Raw genomic sequence first — 19,644 nt, 5'->3', positions numbered from 1 at the left:
AGAACATTCCATGCTCATGGGTAGGAAGAATCAATATCGTGAAAATGGCCATACTGCCCAAGGTAATTTACAGATTCAATGCCATCCCCATCAAGCTACCAATGACTTTCTTCACAGAATTGGAAAAAACTACTTTAAAGTTCATATGGAACCAAAAAAGAGCCCACATCACCAAGTCAATCCTAAGCCAAAAGAACAAAGCTGGAGGCATCACACTACCTGACTTCAAACTATACTACAAGGCTACAGTAACCAAAACAGCATGGTACTGGTACCAAAACAGAGATATAGATCAATGGAACAGAACAAAGCCCTCAGAAATAATGCCGCATATCTACAACTATCTGATCTTTGACAAACCTGAGAAAAACGAGCAATGGGGAAAGGATTCCCTATTTAATAAATGGTGCTGGGAAAACTGGCTAGCCATATGGAGAAAGCTGAAACTGGATCCCTTCCTTACACGTTATACAAAAATCAATTCAAGATGGATTAAAGACTTAAACATTAGACCTAAAACCATAAAAACCCTACAAGAAAACCTAGGCATTACCATTCAGGACATAGGCGTGGGCAAGGACTTCATGTCTAAAACACCAAAAGCAATGGCAACAAAAGTAAAAATTGACAAATGGGATCTAATTAAACTAAAGAGCTTCTGCACAGCAAAAGAAACTACCATCAGAGTGAACAGGCAACCTACAAAATGGGAGAAAATTTTCGCAACCTACTCATCTGACAAAGGGCTAATATCCAGAATCTACAATGAACTCAAACAAATTTACAAGAAAAAAACAAACTACCCCATCAAAAAGTGGGCAAAGGAGATGAACAGACACTTCTCAAAAGAAGACATTTATGCAGCCAAAAAACACATGAAAAAATGCTCAACATCACTGGCCATCAGAGAAATGCAAATCAAAACCACAATGAGATATCATCTCACACCAGTTAGAATGGCAATCATTAAAAAGTCAGGAAACAACAGGTGCTGGAGAGGATGTGGAGAAATAGGAACACTTTTACACTGTTGGTGGGACTGTAAACTAGTTTGACCATTGTGGAAGTCAGTGTGGCGATTCCTCAGGGATCTAGAACTAGAAATACCATTGACCCAGCCATCCCATTACTGGGTATATTTCCAAAGGACTATAAATCATGCTGCTATAAAGATACATGCACATGTATGTTTATTGCAGCATTATTCACAATAGCAAAGACCTGGAACCAACCCAAATGTCCAACAATGATAGACTGGATTAAGAAAATGTGGCACATATACACCATGGAATACTATGCAGCCATAAAAAATGATGAGTTCATGTCCTTTGTAGGGACATGGATGAAATTGGAAATCATCATTCTCAGTAAACTATCGCAAGAACAAAAAACCAAACACCGCATATTCTCACTCATAGGTGGGAATTGAACAGTGAGAACACATGGACACTGGAAGGGGAACATCACACTCTGGGGACTGTTGTGGGGTGGGGGGAGGGGGGAGGGATAGCATTGGGAGATATACCTAATGCTAGATGACGAGTTAATGGGTGCAGCACACCAGCATGTCACACGTATACATATGTAAGTAACCTGCACATTGTGCACATGTACCCTAAAACTTAAAGTATAATAATAAAAGTATTTTTTTCTCCTACTTTATAAAACGAGTAATTATGTAATACCTAGGAGTCATTATTAATGTATAATTATCATTAGCCATTTGGAAATTTTAGAAATAGTTCATTACTAATTAGCTAACATTTATTATATGCTTATTGTGTGCCAGGCACTGTTTGCTAAGTACTTTATATACACTACTTTATTTAATTCTTGGAAGAAACTTTGATGTTGAAACTACTAATATCCCATTTCACAAGTGTGGAATATGAGACTTAGGTTAAGAAACCTCTGTATCTCAAAGTCATATAGCTAGTAAGTATCAGGAACTGTGAGGGGTCTGGCGTTTTACCCTATGTACAAACTAATAAATTAGTCACTGTTTCTTGGATGCTGGGTCAAAGGACACATGCAAAAGAAGTAGCCAGTGCTTCAAGTTTGTGCCAATTTCCCAAGCCCCACCCAGTCCAACAGGGGAAACACCAGTGAGTCTACATGGATGCTTGCACATGGGGAATTTACTGCTTTTACAGTAAACCAAAGAAAGCCTGCTCTTTGTTTTGGGGAAAGAGTTTATCTCAGCTGTTGCAGTTTCTCGGTGCAAACAGAACCCTGAGAAATGGTCTGGGTAAACAGTGGTCATGGCCTTGCATTTTTGTCACACCCACAGGAACATGTAGGGACACTCAAGACCCATGGCCGATTGCTTCTTTCAACAAGAAGTTGTTAAGTCTAGATTCAAACTCAGGTGGGCTGGCTCCAGTCAGCCCTTCTGATATTCCACTTTAGGAAACCAAAGCTGAGAATCACTGTACTGCATGGCAATGAAGTCATGACTTAGAAACCTTGACATTTCTTATTTTTAGGTTGAATAAATGCTTATCACTGCTAACCATCATAAACACAGTTGCTAATCACCCTTTTTATAAACAACTAATGTCTTGAAAACATGTAGTTATTTGGGTCATTCATATCATTAATTAAGGACCTATGAACCTTAGGCACTACTATACATACAATCTACAGGTTACAGAGAACTGTGATCTCTGTGTGTGTGTGTGTGTGTGTGTGTGTGTGTTTATTTAGACAGGGTCTCACTCCATCACTCTGGCTGGAGGGCAGTGGTGAGATCTTGGCTCACTACAATCTCCACCGCCCTGGCTGAAGCGATCTTCCAACCTCAGCCTCCTGAGTAATTAGAATTGCAGGTGCGTGCCACAATACAATGCCCGGCTAAGTTTGTATTTTTTGTAGAGACAGGGTCTCACTATGTTGCCCAGGCTGGTATTGAATTCCTAGGCTCGAGAGATCTGACCACCTCGGCCTCCCAAAGTGCTGGGATTACAGGCGTGAGTTACTGCACCCAGCCCTCATTTTGTTTGTAAGGAGATAGATTGCTTGGAGGGGAGCAATCTAGGACACCTAACATACTAAAATTAGGGTGAAATAAATATAAGCATTAGAAACCATAGCAACTAGGAAATGGAGGCAGACACATTGAGGAGGAAGATGGAGGGGTAAGGATTTATCCAGTACCTATGAAAGGAACTTTATAATATGTGGCTTCCGTTTCTGACTGCATTGATTTCACATGTCTCATGGCTTTAAATACCATAGACTTCTGACTCTCCAATTTCCAGGACAACATCTTCTCAGAACTTCAAACTGCTAACCCAGTGTCCAATGGGCATCTCAAACTCAGCATACCCCAAATCAGACTGATCTAATTTCCATGCATACCTCAGGCCTCCTTTATTTGAAGTTTTCCTTATTTCTGTAAATGTAGCTCTATCCTTCTGGTTACTTGGGCTAAAAATGTTAGCAGTATCCTTGATTCCTCTCTATCTCATAGCCCACATTTAGTTCATCACTAAATCCTTTCAGCTGTATTTTAAAAATATATCCAGAATCCAGTCAGCACTTCTCATCATCTCCTCTACTGTCACCCAGGTCCATTTCACCTCATGTCAAGGTTACTACAATAGATTCCAGTAGACTCCTAATGTCCTACCAGCTTCCCACTCCCCTACCTTCCACAATCTAATGCCCTCTCCCCACAACCTCGTCTCTAGCTTCATCTTCTATTGCTCTTTTCTTAACTCACTGCTCTCTAGCCACATAAGTTGACTAGCTAGTTATTCCTCAGATATGTGATGCTTCTCATTTCTCCATTTGTCCTCATGCCTTGCTTATTTTCTCAGTTCAGCCTCCTGCTCAGATGTCATTTCAACCAGAGAGGCATTCCTTCCCCACACATATACTTAGCAAAACTTGCCACTCTGCTCTGCCATACTCTTTCCTGATAGTCTCATACTTCCTAGCCACCTTCTTTGCTTTATTATTTTGCTAGCTCTTTATCTGATCCAATGTATATTTTACTAATTTAGTTATTACTTGTCCATTTTCCTCACTAGAATATAAGCTTTTTTTAAACTGCAGATCAAAATCTCTGCAGTAAAAACTGCAAACTACCAACCAGATCAAAATCCCTGCAGTAAAAAAAGCTTATATTCTAGTGAGGAAAATGGGCAAGTAACAACTAAATTAGTAAAATATATACTGGGTCAGATAAAGATATGTATCAAATAATCACGTGTGTCCAATAAATATGTGCAATAATTGTGTATCAACAAAAATTTAAAAATTTTTGAAAAGCCTTGTCCATGGCTGTGTGTAGAAACATAGAAGTGTCTCTACACACAGCTAAAAGGGGGACTGGTAATGAGTAGGTACCCAATAAAAATTTGTTGAAAGCATGAATGAATTCAGCCATGGCCAATGCTTTTCAAAAATTTAAAAATTTTTGTTTATACATAATTGTACATATTTATTGAGCAACTGTGATATTTGATACGTGCATACAATTTGTAATAATCAAATTAAGGTAATTAGGATATCTGTTACCTTGTCATTTCTTTGTTCTGGGAATATTCCAAAACTTTTCTTCTAGCTATTTTGAAATATAAAATATTGTTAACTATAGTCACCGTACGGTGCTATCAAACATAGAACTTACTCCTTCTATGTAAATGTATTTTTGAACCCCTTAACCAACCTTACTTCATCCTTCCTCCCTCCTGCCCTTCTCAGCTTCTGGTAACCATCATTCTACTCTCTATCCTTGTGAGATCAACTTTTTAAGCTCCTACTTTTGAATGAGAACATGTGATATTTGTCTTTCTGTGCCTTGCTTATTTTACTTAACATAATGTCCCCCAGTTTCACCCATGTTGTTGCAAATGACATAATTTCATTCTTTTTTATGGCTTAATAATATTTCATTGTGTGTATACATGCCACATTTTCTTTCTTTATTCGGTGGTAGACACTTAGGTTGATTGACTATTGTGGATAGTGCTGTAGTAAACATGGGAGTGCAGATATCTCTTCAATATGCTGATTTCCTTTCTTTTGGTTATATACCCAGCAGTGGAATTGCTGGATTATATGGTAGAACTATTTTTAGTTTTTTAAGGAAACTTCCTGCTGTTTTCTACAATGGCTGTAGTAATTTACATTTCCCGCTAACAGTGTACTACCATTCCCCTTTCTTTGCATCCTTGCCAGCATCTGTTATTTTCTTTTTGACAATAGCCATTTTAACTGGGGTGAGATGATGTCTTATTGTGGTTTTGATTTGCATTTCTCTGATTATTATTGATGTTGAGTATTTTTTCATATACCTGTTGGCTATTTTTATGTCTTCTTTTGAGAAATGTAGTGATTATATTGATGAAAAAAATAAATTAGGGGGTATTTGAGGTATGATTAGGGAGGCCTCCCTGGAAACTGAGACATGGAAGATGAGGAATTAGTCATAAAGATTTGTAGTAACAGGCCAGGTGCAGTGGCTCATGCCTGTAATCCCAGCACTTTGGGAGGCTGAGGTGGGCAGATCACCTGAGGTCAGGAGTTTGAGACCAGCCTGGCCAACATAGTGAAACTGTGTATCTACTAAACATACAAAAATTAGCCAGGCGTGGTGGTGGGCGCCTGTAATCCCAGCTATTTGGGAGGCTGAGGCAGGAGAATTGCTTGAACCAGGAGGCAGAGGTTGCAGTGAGCTGAGATCGCACCACTGTACTGTAGCCTGGGTGACAGAGCCAGACTACCTCAAAAAATGTTTGTAGTAACACATTTCTGACAGAGGAAACATAAAATGCAAAAGCCCCAAGAGGGAGATCAGCCCTAGATATGGTAAAAGGTGGGGTTGTTTAGAAGATGAGGTCAGAGAGGCAGGGGCTAGATCATTTAGGACCTTGAAGGCCATGGTGAGTAGTTTGGATTTTATTCTGGAAAGCATTTTATTTTAGAGGTATTTAAGCAAGTATGAGAGGGGCATGGCATGATTTTCTTTAAAAAATATTTTTCTGGCTGCTGTGAGAATAATGGATTTTTTTGGCAGGGGTTGGTGGGGTAGGAGTTTCAAGAATGAAATTAAGATAACCAGCTAAGAGACTGTTGCAGTAGTACTGTCAAAATATGATAGGATGGCAGAAAAAAGTAGACTGAGACTAAATTTTCAGGTCAGTATTGACAGTGCTTTTTGAGTGGCTGGATAATGGGTGAGCGAAAGAAAAAAAAAATAAAAGGATGACTCTAAAAGTAGACCTTCCTTGGTTGTGTTATATTATTGTTTTATTATACTGTTAGATATAATTTACTCATGTTACAGTTATGAAATTTATTATCTTAGGCCTATTGGATCAACTCTCATGCCCTGGTGGGCATTCAAGCTGGTTTAATCCTTTTCAACCTTATTAGACAGATATAGGCATGGCTTGCCCTTTAGGTATCTATACCTTCGGACTGCTTTTAAGTGTTGTGTCTGTTAAATGGGGCCTTGTTCACATTGGGTAGTGTCAGATGGAACCTAACAAAGTTTCAGGGCATAGGTGAGCAAGCATTGTTCTTGCTGGCTGTAGGAAAGACAATGTAATTGCTGTTGTGAAATGGTTATTCTTACTACATAGCTATGAAAATAATCACTAGATACTGACTCTCAGAAGCTTTTTTGTTGTTGGTCCATGGATGGTTCTGATTCCTCATGGAAGACAGTTCCCTGTGGTTCTCTAGAATTTCTGCTTAAGAGACACTGACAGCTTTGTTTTGAATTTTGTTTTCAAGGGTATTTGTATACTGAACAGTCTTAAAAGATATAGGGTCTCTTTCTTTTTTTTTTTTTTTTTTTTTTTTTTTGAGATGGAGTCTCGCTCTGTCACCCAGGCTGGAGTGCAGTGGCGCAATCTCGGCTCACTGCAAGCTCTGCCTCCTGGGTTCACGCCATTCTCTTGCCTCAGCCTCCCGAGTAGCTGGGACTACAGGCGCCTGCCACAACGCCCGGCTAATTTTTTTGTATTTTTAGTAGAGCGGGGTTTCACCGTGTTAGCCAGGATGGTCTCGATCTCCTGACCTCGTGATCCACCCGCCTCGGCCTCACAAAGTGCTGGGATTACAGGCATGAGCCACAGCGCCCTGCCGATATAGGGTCTCTTTCTAAAGCAGAGGTCAGATTTATCTGTCTAATATAATAACAATGATATATTCCCCCAAGGCAAAGGTTAGGCATATTTGCTTGCAGTCCATTATAAAGGATTGGAGTTTCTAAGCTTGGGGTTTCTTAGCTGTGATGCAAACCCACTGTGTGTATGGCATCTAATTGGGCATTCCACATTGTTCCTCTGGGATTTGGGGGCACAGGGATCCTATGTGAATATAAAGCTCATGCTATCTGCTGTGCCATGAGTAATAAAGTCCTTTTTCTCTGGCCCAGGAGTCTTATCTATTCTGACAGTATTCATGAAACTATGGCAGGCTAAATTGTTAGCTTGTAGGTAGGATGAAATCTCAGACCTGTCATAATTTTTAGTTCCTATTCCTAAAGAGGCTTTACCACTCTTGATCACATATTCTCCCAGCCACCTTGTGTTTTCCCTATGATGTCTTATCTAATTTTTAAAACAGGTAATACATTTATATTGTTTAAAAATATTAAAAATAATACATTGAGAATTCTGGAGCCCACCCTTGTTCTGGCTACTTCCTACTCACCTTGCCCCCCATCAGATAACTAGTTTTCTTAGTTTCTTTCATACTTTTCTGAGTGTTTCTTTATCCAAATAGAAACAAACATGAATATATATTCTTATTTCACCTTCTTTCTTTTTCTCACTTAATAAATCTTGGAGTGTGACTTCTGTCAACATATAGAGTACTTCATCCTCCTCTTCCTCTTTCTTCTTTTTGATTTGGCTTCTTTATTAAGTATAGCACAAAATCAGAAAGCCACATAAAACACATTTACAGATTAATGAATTATGATAAGATAAATGCCCTTTTTATCATTTTCACCCCCACAACAGATATGACAAATGATTGTTTTGTATTTCTGTGTGTGTATGACTTTATGACATTATTTTTATACAGCCAAAGTGCATTTATATTTACCCATGTATTTTCACTTTCTTTGCTATTTATCATTTCCTATACTACTGACCTTACATCTGGGATCAGTTCTTTTTCCCTGCCTCGTCGATTTTCAAAAATTGTTATTGTTATTGAAATTCCTTGAGTCTTAGTCTTAATAGCACACTTTTTTTCCCCCTACTGAAAGGAGCATTAATTGCTTTTACTTTTTGTCATCTTTCTAGTAAGGGATAATCTAGACACATTAAAATTTGCCCTCTTTAGTCTGCAGTGCTATACATTTTAATAAACGCATATAGTTTGCATAACCACTACCACAATTGAGATTTTGAGTGTTTCCATCACGTAAAAAATCCCCACATCCTTCTGTAATCAACTCTTATCTTTACCCTTAGGCTTTGGTATGTTTTCTAACCCTAGGATTTGTCATATAAATTGAGTCAATAGTACACAGCCTTAGTAAAGCTGGCTTCTTCACTGAGCATAATTTGAGTTTCATCCATGTTGTTGTGTGTACCACTTGTCTTTATATGCACTCACTAGCACTTGCTATTAGAGAGCTTTAAAAAATATTATTTTAATTATTCTAATAGGTATGTAGTGCTATCTCATTGTGATTTGAAATTCCATTTTTATAATGAGTAATGATATTGAGCTTATTTTTATGTGTTTGTTCTCAGGGCTGAGACTAGGGTGATGCAAATGATGTACCTAGGCCCAAAATTTTAGGAGGCATTCATTTTCAGACATGAGTACAAGTGTAGAGCAGTTAGGCACTTCACTTGCCTCAACCTAGGCCTGGCCCTGCTTAATTGCCTTCTATATGTATTCTTTGGTGAAGTGTCTGTTTAAATCTTTTACCCTTTTTAAATATTATTTTTTCTTATTATTCTCTATATAGTCTGAATATAAGTCCTTTATCAGATATGCATTTTGTGAAAAGTATCTTCCAGTCTATGATTTGTCTTTTTATTCTCCCAGTTGTGTTTTCTGAAGAGCAGAAGTTCTTGATTTTGTTGTTATTGCTGTTTTTAGAAGATACCATCTTGGCTAGTTTGGGGTGTTGGCTAATATGTTGCTAGGAGGTAGGGCTTTGTTATGATATTCTCTTTCTAATTAGGCCATTAAGCTCTGTTACAGGAGAAAATAATCAAAATGGTGTTTTTGTGTGTGTGTTTTTTGTTTTTTGTTTGTTTGTTTTTTGTTTTTTGTGGTGAGAGCCTGAAGAAGTTTCTTGATTTTTTTTAAAATTGAGCTTTGTTCAGGTTTTTCTCATTCCACTTCTTTCCCTCTTGATTGTTTTGAAATTTAAAAACTATGTTTCTGTTTTTTATTGCTTATAGTGAGATTTAACTGTGCATATTTAAGTAACAAAGTCTAAGGTTAAGAATATGTCCCCCTTGGAATGGGAGGCCATTATTTTAAGTGAAATAACTCAGAAACAGAAAGTCAAATATCACATGTTCTCACTTATAAGTAGGAGTGAAATAACATCTATACCTGAACATAGAGAGTGGAATAATAGACATTGGAGACTTGAAAGAAAGGGAGCATGGGAAGGGTGTGAGGGATGAGAAATTATTCAGTGGGTACTGTGTATACTATTAGGGTGATGGCCTCAATAAAAGCCCAGACTTCACCACTACACAATATATTAATGTAACAAAACTGCACTGTACTTGTACTCCCTAAGTCTATACAAATAAACAAATTATAAACAGTGTAAGGATTTGAGAGAGTTTGGTCTGTTTTTTTCCCTTCTCAATTATATATTATTGTCTAATATTTCAATTTACTATCATTTTGTATTAACAGTATTTGTTTGGATTTACCCATATGTTTATGATTTTTCACATTTACCTTTCCAAGTTGCACTTCAGACATCCCTTGAAATCATTTTCCTCCTTTGAGTATATTCTTTAGAAGTTCCTTTAGAGCAAATATCTTGGTGGTAACTTAGTAACTAACTTGTAAATGCTTCTGTTTTCTTTCTTGAGAGGTAATTTTGCTGGGTGCACAATTCTAGGTTGATAGTTTTCTTCTTTCAGTTAGCCTATTGTTGCATTGGCTCCTATTTTTCTGATAAGTCTGCAGTGATTTTACTTTTCTTTGTATTAATGTCAGCAAATTAATATGATTCAAAACAGCAGATGTTATATTCTTTATCATTGTACTTTCAGGACCTTCTCTTTGTCTTCGATAGTCTGTAATTTCATTACAATGTATATGACTATTAATTATTTTTATTTAACCTGTTTGGTATATATTTATGTTATGCTTCCTGGATCTGAGGATCCGTATTCTTTTATCAGTTTTGAAGAGTTCTCAGCTATAACCTTTTAAAATATTTTTCCTGGCTGGGTATCATGGCTCATGCCTGTAATCCCAACACTTTGGGAGGCTGAGGCAGATGAATCACTTGAGGCCAGGAGTTTGAGACCAGCCTGGCCAACATGGCAAAACCCCATCTCTACTAAAAATTCAAAAATAAGCTGAGTGTGGTAGCACATACCTGTAGACCCAGTGACTCAGGAGGCTAAGGCAGGAGAATCACTTGAAACTGGGAGGTGGAGTTTGCAGTGAGCCGAGATTGGACCACTGCACTCCAGCCTGGGCGACAGAGCAATACTCTGTCTCAAAAAGAATAAATAATACATAAAAATATTTTTTCTCCTCTATCTTTCTATTTTTCCTTCTGGGACTCCATTTTGACATATGTTAGTTCAGAAGCTGGCAAACATTTTATGAAAAGGACTTCACAGGTTTTTTTTAGACTGCAAAGACCGCACATAGTCTCCAATGCATCTTTGTTGTTTTTTGGTTTCACAATACAAAATCATTCTTAGCTCACAACAAAATATATGCTTAGCAAAAACATGCTAGGCTTTCTTTTCCATGGCTTTTAGTCTCATATTTTTTGTATCTTATCTGTTTGCATCATTCTATATAAAATCATTTTATTTATCTTCCAGTTTACTAATTCTCTCTTCAACTCTCTCTAATCTTGTATAGCTTATTCACTGAGATAAACAATTATATATTTTTATTGCAGATATTTCCATTTTTAAAAATTTATAACTTAGTAGCCAGAGAATTCCACTGGCTGTGGGTGAATTTATTTTCTCCATAAAGATTTGTGCTCAAAGTAGAAGCCCCAGAGAGAGCTTTTCCACCTCACTACTGTTTCAAGGTTTCATATTCCCCTTGCCTTTGCCATAGAAATCTGGTCTGGGGGCTACCTTCCCTATTTTCCCTTCCTGACTTCTATAGGTGGGCTCCCTGCTATATTGGACATTTGTTTCTCTGATTTAGCTCCTGCATCTGCAGCCCGGCTCTGGCATGCCTTGGACTATCCTGGCCCAAGCTTTTAGATGCTGTCATCTTGTCTTCCAGACCCAAGCTCGTGGTTGCTATAGCTGTGGGTCTAGTCAGCTCCAAGCTCAATCCATATTTGTTGTAATAGGTTTATTTGGGGGGAGCAGAGGTCACTGTAGACCTCTGCTACAATTTGTAAGAGCAGAGCTACTACAAAAAGTGTATTCTGTTCAGGGTACACTTGCTATAGAGCTGGCTGGTTCCTTGGAGCTTCTAATCATTTGTAATGCTAGAAGCATCCATCAGTTTCGTATTCAGAAAAAAGAAATTCAAAAAGTCTTTTCATGAGGCATTCTTCATTAAATAAGGAAGTTTCAAAAAATATGAGACTAAAATAAGGAAGAAATAAGAAATGACAAGATATTAAAAAATGTTTTTCCATATATTCTTTGCAGAGTATTGTCAAATTTATTGTTTTGAGGTTCTTTTTTTTAACCTGATGCTATTACTAAGATAAACATTTTTTTAAATTGAGCAACATTTTAGTTGAATATTATGAATGTTACTCTATACTAGCAATGAATTTGATTTTTTGTGTAGAAACTTCATCTATGTAGTAAATGTGTTTATTTTTCTTAATTCAGGAAAATGTCTAATCAACAGGAGAAGTATGAAGCTCAGAATATAGTCAATTCAACAGAAGAGAGTGATGATGCTTTTGATACTGTCACTATTCCAGTTCCCTCAGAAGAGCCTCAAGAGTCAGATCAAACTGAAGAGCATGAATCTGGAATAGAACAATTCAGTGAGAGCCATGCAATACATGTTGAGGAGCAGAGTGACCAAAGCTTTTCAAGCCTGGAACCAGACAATGAACAACTCATGGAAGAGGTTATATCACCAAGACAAGTTTCATATACTCCGCAACATCATGAAAAGCAATATGCAATGCAGAGGCCAAATGATGATAGTTTGGCATTTCTGGATAAAATAAAGTCTGTAAAGGAATCTTTGCAAGAATCAGTGGAAGATTCTCTAGCAACAGGTACTACCTAAGGAAGATAGGCTATTTCATTTTCTCATTTTGAAGAATGAATGCGTTTTCTTGTTGGCTTATTTTTGCTTAAAGATTTGTTTTATATTTGATATTCCTTTCCCTTTCCCTTATCCACCAAACTTCCAGAGTTACATAGCTTGAATCTCTTAACTATTTGTGAAAGCTTCTCTATTCTGCAGTATCTATTTTTCGTCAATGAATGAGCATCATTAAATTTAAAAATTGATATTTATACATTTTTTCAAAGAAAGTAGGTTTTAAAAATGTTTACCACCTTGGAAAATGATGGAGAAATTATTGACTAAAATGGGAATTATTTTACATGCCAATTTGGAATTAATTGTTGTACCTAAATAGCAAGAGGTGCATGGGAACTAGACAATGGATTTTTCTAGTTTCGTATCCAGTGCTCGCTTATTCTACATATCATGTTGCTTTTACATATTTCTATAGTCTGTTTAGTGTTAACTTATATTTTCCTTCAGAAAAATCATTGTTTTTCATTGTAGGTTAATTTTAAAGACACAAAATAATGTTGATAGCATACAGTAGTTATTATTATATTCTTAATAACAGCAGAGTGGCAGCAGCAATAAGGTGGTTACACAGAGAACCATTCTAGTTGCATGGTTAACTGACTGCTCCTTTTCCGTCTTGTGAATGAGTTTTGAGAGAGTTTCTGCCTACAGAGTGGAGAACATGAGCCATGATTTAACAACAATAATAACAGCAGCTTAGTTTGGCTGGTAAAATGTAGCTTTTGAATCTGGTGGTGTAGTTTACCCTTGTGTGATGTGTCCATATAAGTAAAGAAAGAAAAGAAGGAGAGAAAACTACGTAAGCCCAGTTATACCTGACTGAAGCAGGTATCTCTCAATTTTAGTATTTAATGTAAATTTGGGTTTCATTTTTGGGTATTTCTGTCATTCCCTGATATTATAACTTAAACACATAGTGATTTTTAAAAAAATGTTGTCTTGGTCCTTTACCTCCTGAACTTCACAAATCCCTTGACACATTTCCCCTTCCCAAAGCTTAAGAAGTCACTACTATGAAAGTTTTAAAATTTATTAATTAAAATAACCTTCTTATATTTGCCATCTGAGAAAGTATTCTCTTTGTTGATAGAGAACTGTGGAAACAAGTTTTAACAAGCTCAAAGAACCTTCGCATTACCAATGCCTACTTAAATTTTGTCATGTTATTGATAAATGTCTTATTTTTAGCTTTACGAAAACTGTAATTTCAGGAATCTAGAAATATACAAAACTTTTTTGATCCACAGTCTTTATTCTATACTACTTCTTCTTACATCTTCTCCATTAAAATTTGAAGTCTGTAGATGTAAAACAGTTTACCCATATTAATTACTTTTTACATACTGTATTTCCCTCCTATATTCATGAACAGATAATCATTTTATAATAACATTTAAAAATTTTTTAATGTGTAAGTATCTTGATTCTCTCTTTTCTAGAGGGGATTGAGCCATATAATGTCCCTCTTTGTGAAAAGTAGTTATAGTGCATTTCTAACTTCTGGGACACTCTCTCTGTCTCAGGTCTCTCTTTCCTAAATTCACTATGCAAAAATGCGTGATTTCCTGAGATGTATCCTATGCTTATATCTGAATGATACATACCAGGTATTGAACATTAGAGCTAATTTTTGAGATTATGGGTTGATTTTCAAAGCAACTAAATATTGGCTACTTCTCCTTATAGAAAATTAAAAGTAACTGTTATCATTGGGGCACAGCAGGGAAACACTAGCAAGAACAACTTGTATTCTATGTAATTAAAAATTAACACATAATTCTGTATCTGTTTGTGGACTGTAGTTTGCTGACCTTTGCTATATTTGACTATAATTCTTTCTTTTCTATTTAATTTACAGTAAAAGTTGTACTTATTCCAGTGGGCCAGGAAATTGTAATACCTTTTAAGGTTGATACCATTCTTAAATATCTTAAGGACCATTTTTCACACTTATTAGGTATCCCACATTCTGTACTGCAGATAAGATACTCAGGTAAGTTTGGAGGCTAATAAAACATATCAAGACTTTTCTAGTTTTAACATGTAAACAATCAAGATCTTTGATTTTAAAAACTAAATATCTTGGTACTAATTGAACATTATATTGTGGTTATGCATTCACTCATTCAATACATATTTAGTAAGGACATACTTTGTTCTAGATACTTTGCTAAGAAATGAAGATACAGAGAAATGTGAAGTAAGATTCCTGTTCTGAAATTGTTTACAGATTAGTAAGGAAGAAGATGCATGCAGTAGCTACCATGTAATGTGTAAACGCTTCCATGGAAATATGCACAAAAAGCTGTGGGAACAGGGGAAGGAACTTGGTAGATTCTAGAAAGTTTCATTTAATAAAAGTGATAATAATTGTGCCAAGTCACAAAGAGGTGAGAAAGTGTGGAAGTTTCGGGAAGTGGTAAGAAGTGTTGAGTGGCTGGAAATAGATTATATATGGGTAGCGGGAGGAGATGAGATTGAAAAAATGGATGATGAAAGAGAATGTGTAGAACAGGAAGAGGACTGAAAATGATTTATGAGTATTCTGTACATTAAGGTCAATGCACATTTCCATGATGATAGGTATATTTATATTTTGTGGATGATATTGAACAGCGCACTGAAGTTATATTAATCTTGTGTCCTGAGAGGACATAGTCTTTATTAACTATTACAGTTGATCAGACTAACATACCTAAATATATGTTTTTATAGAATATGTCTGAACAGATCCTAATATTTTAAACAGTTTTGATATTGACTTATAATGATGCCACAAAAAGTTTCCAGAGAAAAACAATTTAATTTCCAAATTATTTAAAAAAATCTATTATAGTAAATGTAAGATGTTCATGTGTTCAGATAAGTGATTGTTAAAACTTGATTTGCTATACAAAAGCTAAAATTTAAATAATTATTAGTAATAATGATTATGACCATATTGTTGGTGTTGGTGATTAATTTATTGACCATATACTGTGTGCTAGTACTTCCAAAAAATGTTTTGCCTACATTATAATTTAATCCACACAGCAGCCTTTTGATGTAGGAATTACTAGTAACTCTTTTTTGGGGAGAAGGAAACCCAAAACTCAAGAAACTTGTGCAAAGTCACAAAACTTGTAAGTGGCAGAGTCTGAACTTAAATGTAGGTATGACTCCAGAGGGAATTTGAAACTGCTGCACATTAACTATAAGGTGAAGTTCAAAACTGGATGAGAGAGCACTTTGAGATTGTAGTAACCAGCTAGTGGTACTTAAGGATTTCTCTGTTCTTTATACCTCATGACCTTTCGTCTTTAGGTACCAGGCATCACCACTGGGTAACAGGCTTATGCCAGCAGGAATTACAAAAGAGCTTGACTCTATGCCAGGCATCCTCTAAAGTGCTTTCTGCTAGTACTAGAACTTGAGCTCCAGTTTGGTGGGATTAAGCCTATTACAGAAATAAGTAGAGAAATAAAGGGGGCTCTGGGGACCCTGTATTGGTTTCTTATGGCTGTTCTAACAGTCACAAACTTAGTGGCTTAAAGCAGCACATATATTTCGCTTATAGTTCTGGAGGCAAAAAATCCAAAATTAATTTCATTGAGATAAATTCAAGGTGTCTACAGGGCTGCTGTCCCTCTGGAGGATCCAGAAGAGAATCTGATTCCTTGCCCTTCCAGCTTTTAGAGTTGCATTTCTTGTATTTCTTGGCTTATTAGGCCCTTCCTCCGTTTTAAAAGCCAGAACTGTAGCATCTTCAAATCTGTCTGCTTCTGTCATATGGCCTTCTCCTCTGTCATCAAATCTTCCTCTTCCTTCCTCTAATAAGGGGACTTGTGATTACATTTACGGCCCAACCAGATAATCCAGGAAAATCTTTCCAACTCAAAATTCTCAATCAAATCTGCAAAGCCACTTTTGCCATATAAGGTAATATTCATAGGTCCGGGAGATTAGGATGTAGACATACTTGGGGCAGTTATCCAACCTATCATAAAGTCCATATGACATTCATGTTAATTTTTTTTTTTTTTTGAGATGGAGTCTCACTCTGTTGTCCAGGCTGGAGTCAGTGTCACGATCTCGCTCACTGCAACCTCCGCCTCCCAGGTTCAAGTGATTCTCCTGCCTTAGCCTCCCAAGCAGCTGGGACTACAGGGATGTGCCACCACACCCGGCTAATTTTTACATTTTTAGTAGAGACAGGGTTTCACCATATTGGCCAGGCTGGTCTCAAACTCCTGACCTCATGATCCACCCGCCTTGCAAAGTGCTGGGATTACAGGTGTGAGCCACTGCACCTGGCCCTCATGTTAATTTTTTAACTGAAGAATTTAGGGTGTGAAGTAGAAACTCAAAGATCTTAGAATGTGCTTTCTTGAACATAGCCAAAATAGACTACAGATGCTCCTCAATTTGTGATTGGGTTATGTCCCAGTAAACCTGTCATAAATTGGAAACATCATATGTCAAAAATGCATTTAGTAAGCCTAACCTACCAAACTTCATAGCTTAGCCTAGCCTACCTTAAGTGTGCTCAGAATAGTTACATTAGCCTACAGTTGGGCAAAATCATTTAATACAAGGACTCTTTTATAAGTGTTGAATATCTCATGTAATTTATTGCATACTGCACTGAAAGTGAAAAACAGAATGATTGGGTGCTCGAAGTGTGGTTTCTACTAAATGTGTGTGGCTTTTGCATCATCATAAAGTCAGAAAATTGTAAGTTGAGCCATTATCATTGTAAGCTGGAGAATGTAGTGGTGTCTGATGGATTTCTAAGAATAAGTAAACCTTTTGCAGTGTTCACATTCCTAACTGCAATTTAGAAGGGCCATAAATTTGAAGATTAATATAGATTCCATCAATAAAGTTTCCATGACACAAAACAGCAGCCAGTCACATAGTTACATTTTTGTATACCTTAAAATAGAGAAAGAAAATTAGTCAATTTCTGAATACACCAGTGGCTGGGCAGATGGGGGAGGAGTGAGTAGAAGTTAAAACAATAGCATCATAAAAATTAAGCAATGTATACTTTTTCTAGCACAAAACTGGCTTACCTCTACCGTGGCATGAATTAATTTATATGAGTTTCTGATTATGAAAAGAGAGAAAGTAAGGGATTCTGCATATATGCTTCTCTGTTCTGGGGGCGATGTGGTTTGGATTTGTGTCCCCACCCAAATCTCATGTTGAATTGTATTCCCCAGTGTTGGAGGAGGGGCCTTGTGGGAGGTGATTGGATCATGGGGGCAGATTTCCCCCTTGTTGTTCTTGTGATAGTGAGTTATCATGAGATCTGGTTGTTTAAAAGTGTTCAGCACCTCCCCCTTTGCTCTCTTCCCCCTGCTTCAGCCATGTAAAACGTGCCTCCTTCTTCACCTTTTGCCATGATTGTAAGTTTCCTGAGGCCTCCCCAACCATGCTTCCTGTACAGCCCATGGAATTGTGAGCCAATTAAATCTCTTTTCTTTAAAAATTACCCAATCTTAAGTAGTTCTTTATAGCAATGTGAGAACGGACTAATACAGAAAGTTGGTACCAAGAAGTTTGGCATTGCTGTAAAGTTATCTGAAAATATGGAAGCAGCTTTGGAACTGGGTAATGGGCAGGTGTTTGGAGGCCTTTGAAGAAGACAGGAAGATGAGGGAAAGTTTGGAGCTTCCTAGAGACTTGTTAAATTGTTGTGACCAAAATGCTGATAGTGATATGGACAGTAGAGTCAAGGCTGAAGTAGTCTCAGATGGAAATGAGGAACTCATTGGGAACTGGAGTAAAGGTCACACGTGCTATGCTTTAGCAAAGACACCCGGCAGCACTGTGTCCTTGCTCTAGGGATCTGTGGAACTTTGAACTTGAAAGTGGTGATTTAGGGTATCTGGTGGAAGAAATTTCTAAACAGCAAAGCATTCAAGATGTGGCCTAGCTGGTTCTAACAGTATATGGTCATATGTGTGAGCAAGGAGATGATCTGAAACTGGAACGTATATTTAAAAAGGAAGCAGAGCATAAAAATTTAGAAAATGTGTAGCCTGATCATTTGGTAGAAAAGAAAAACCCTATTTCAAGGGAGGAATTAAAGCAGGCTGCAAAATTTATATAATAAAAAGGAGCCAAATGTTAATGGCCAAGATAATGGGGAAAATGCCTCAAAGTCATTTCAGAGACCTTCATGGCAGCCCCTCTTGTCACAGGCCTGGAGGCCTAGGAGGGAAAAGTGGTTTTGTGAGCTAGGCCCAGGGCCGTTTGGGACACTTCTGCCTGCATCCCAGCTACTCCAGCTCCTGCTCTGGCTAAAAGGGCTCCAGATATGCCTCAGGCCATTGCTCCAGAGGGTGGAAGCCATAAGCCTTGGTGGCTTCCATATGGTATTAAGCGTGTGGGTGCACAGAAGGCAAGAATTGAGGCTTGGGAGCCTCTGCCTAGATTTCAGAGGATGTATGGAAATGCTTGGATGTCCAGGCAGAAGTTGGCTGCAGGAGCAGAGCCCTCATGGAGAACCTCTGCTAGGGTGGTGCAAAGGGGAAATATGTGATTGGAGCCCCCACACAGAGTGCCCACTGTGGCACTGCCTAGTGGAGCTGTACCTGTGGAGTCTTCCAGACTCCAGAATGGTAGATCCATTAGCAGCTTGTACTGTGCACCTGGCAAAGCCGCAGACACTCAGTGCCAGCTCTTGAGAGCAGCCATGCGAGCTGAGCCCTGTGGAGCCACAGGGGTAGAGCTTCCCAAAGCCTTGGGGGCCCACCCCTTGCATCACTGTGGCCTGTACGTGAAACATGGAATCAAAGGAGATTATTTAAAGCTTTAAGATTCAATAACTGCCCTGCTGGGTTTTGAACTTGCATGAGATGTGTAGCCCCTTTGTTTTGGCTGATTTCTCCATTTTGGAATGGGTATATTTACCCAATGCCTATATCTCCATTGTATCTTGGAAGTAACTAACTTGTTTTTGATTTTATAGGCTCATAGGTGGAAGGGACTTGCCTTGTCTCAGATGAGACTTTGGTCTGTGGACTTTAGAGTTATTGCTGAAATGAGTTAATACTTGGGGGACTGTTAAGAAGGAATGATTGTATTTTGCAATGTGAGGACATGAGATTTGACAGGAGCCAGGAGCAAAATGATATGGTTTGGATTTGTGTCCTCTCCCAAATCTCTTGTCAAATTGTAATCCTCAGTGTTGGAGGAGAG

General features: G+C 37.6%; 1 protein-coding gene across 12 annotated transcripts in view; it reads left to right on the top strand.

The window, feature by feature from the left end:
- Positions 1-19,644, top strand: part of IQUB (IQ motif and ubiquitin domain containing) — an 82,403-nt gene that overhangs the window by 10,246 nt on the left and 52,513 nt on the right. For 11 of the 12 annotated variants that reach the window (NR_104245.2, NR_104244.2, NM_178827.5 and 8 more), the window contains 2 exons: positions 12,006-12,406; positions 14,315-14,449. Coding sequence is in view for 10 of the 12 variants with exons in the window: in NM_178827.5 (NP_849149.3) it covers positions 12,010-12,406; positions 14,315-14,449 (532 nt within the window). In the remaining 2 variants the exon portion in view is untranslated. The remainder of the gene's footprint in view (positions 1-12,005; positions 12,407-14,314; positions 14,450-19,644) is intronic. The other variant, XM_017011772.3, reaches the window with a different exon arrangement.

The sequence above is a fragment of the Homo sapiens genome, chromosome 7, assembly GCF_000001405.40.
Source record: "Homo sapiens chromosome 7, GRCh38.p14 Primary Assembly".
NCBI classification, from domain to species: Eukaryota; Metazoa; Chordata; class Mammalia; order Primates; family Hominidae; genus Homo; species Homo sapiens.
Note: the sequence above shows the minus strand (reverse complement) of the source record. Positions and strands in the feature narration are given on the sequence as shown.